The sequence below is a fragment of the Homo sapiens genome, chromosome 4 (assembly GCF_000001405.40).
Source record: "Homo sapiens chromosome 4, GRCh38.p14 Primary Assembly".
Lineage (NCBI taxonomy): Eukaryota > Metazoa > Chordata > Mammalia > Primates > Hominidae > Homo > Homo sapiens.
In genome coordinates this window covers 98,713,198-98,714,489 of record NC_000004.12, presented here as the reverse complement: position 1 = coordinate 98,714,489, position 1,292 = coordinate 98,713,198, and the positions used below count along the sequence as shown (strand labels likewise).

At 45.0% G+C, this 1,292-nt stretch overlaps 1 pseudogene; it reads left to right on the top strand.

Moving 5' to 3' along the window:
- The first annotated feature begins 518 nt into the window (after nt 1-518).
- LOC107986231 (mitochondrial import receptor subunit TOM7 homolog) lies at nt 519-790 on the top strand (annotated as a pseudogene).
- Nucleotides 791-1,292: the final 502 nt, after the last annotated feature.

Below are 1,292 nucleotides of genomic sequence, written 5' to 3'. Positions count from 1 at the left end.
CTTGCTTCCCCTCACCTTCCACCATGGTTGTAAGTTTCATGAGGCCTCCCAGCTATGCTTCCTGTATAGCCTGCAGAACTGTGAGTCAATTAAACCTCTTTTCTCCATAAATTACCCAGTCTCCAGTAGTTCTTTATAGCAGTGTGAGAACAGAATAATATAGCCCACTTTTGGCTTATTACAAAAAAATATTTGTTGAGCTCATTTAATATACTGGGCTGCCTGGTTGATTTAGAGCAATGCAGAGGCTGCAAGGCACAGCCTAGGCCCTGAAGAAACATAAGAGCTGTTAGAGAGACGGTTGCAGAGTGGATGTGGGTGGAAGGGATTCTAGTGGAAGAAAACTTGAAGGAAGAGTGCTGGGGGCTACAGCAGAAAGGGGAGTATAAGAGAGAAGGCTGGAGAGTAAGTTGGGACCATATCATGGGTCCAGGAGTTAGAATTTTCATGTCACAAATCCTATCACAAGGGGCATCAGAAAGCAACTATTACCTCACCATGCCACCCTGGATGTCTCCATGGTGATGCTGGGCAAAGAGGCCAAGCAGAGGCTGCAGTAGCTTTTCAAGGGCAGTCAATTTTCCATCTGCTGGGGCTTTATTCATCTCATGACTTACCTGGAACTAAAGAAGGGTATAGAGCCTGGGATGTCTGAACCAATCGTTTTGAGCCTGCTTTGGAGATAAAGGACTATTTGATCATCTGGATTTGGAAGCCATCAATGGACAGGAACAACATGGAGCTGTGCGCTCTGATGGGGATAAGAAATGGGGCCTCATTCAAATGTTCCCTAATCGGCCAGGCATGGTGGCTTACACCTGTAATCCCAGCACTTTGGGAGGTCAAGGCAGGTGGATCACTTGAGCCCAGGATTAGAGATCAGCCTGGGTAGCAAGGCAAAACCCCAACTCTACAAAATATACAAAAATTAGCTGAGCCTATAGTTCCAGTTACTCAAGAGGCTGAGGTGGGAGGATTGCTTGAGCCTGGGAGGTTGAGGCTGCAGTGAGCTGTGATGGCACCACTGCACTCAGGCACCTAGCCTGAGTGACAGAGCAAGACCCTATCTCAAATAAATAAATAAATATATTTCGTGGTTGAATGGCACAGGACTCTTCATAGAGGCATATGTGGCAGAGTGGAAGCTCTACTGACTTTATGTATCAAAATGAATGTTTTTAACAATGAAAAAAAACATATCTACCTAGACTCTCCACCTTTGGCTAATAAAGAATTATCCCTATTTGGCTAAAGAAGGAATAAGGTTTGGAGAGGTTAAGCGACTTTCTCAA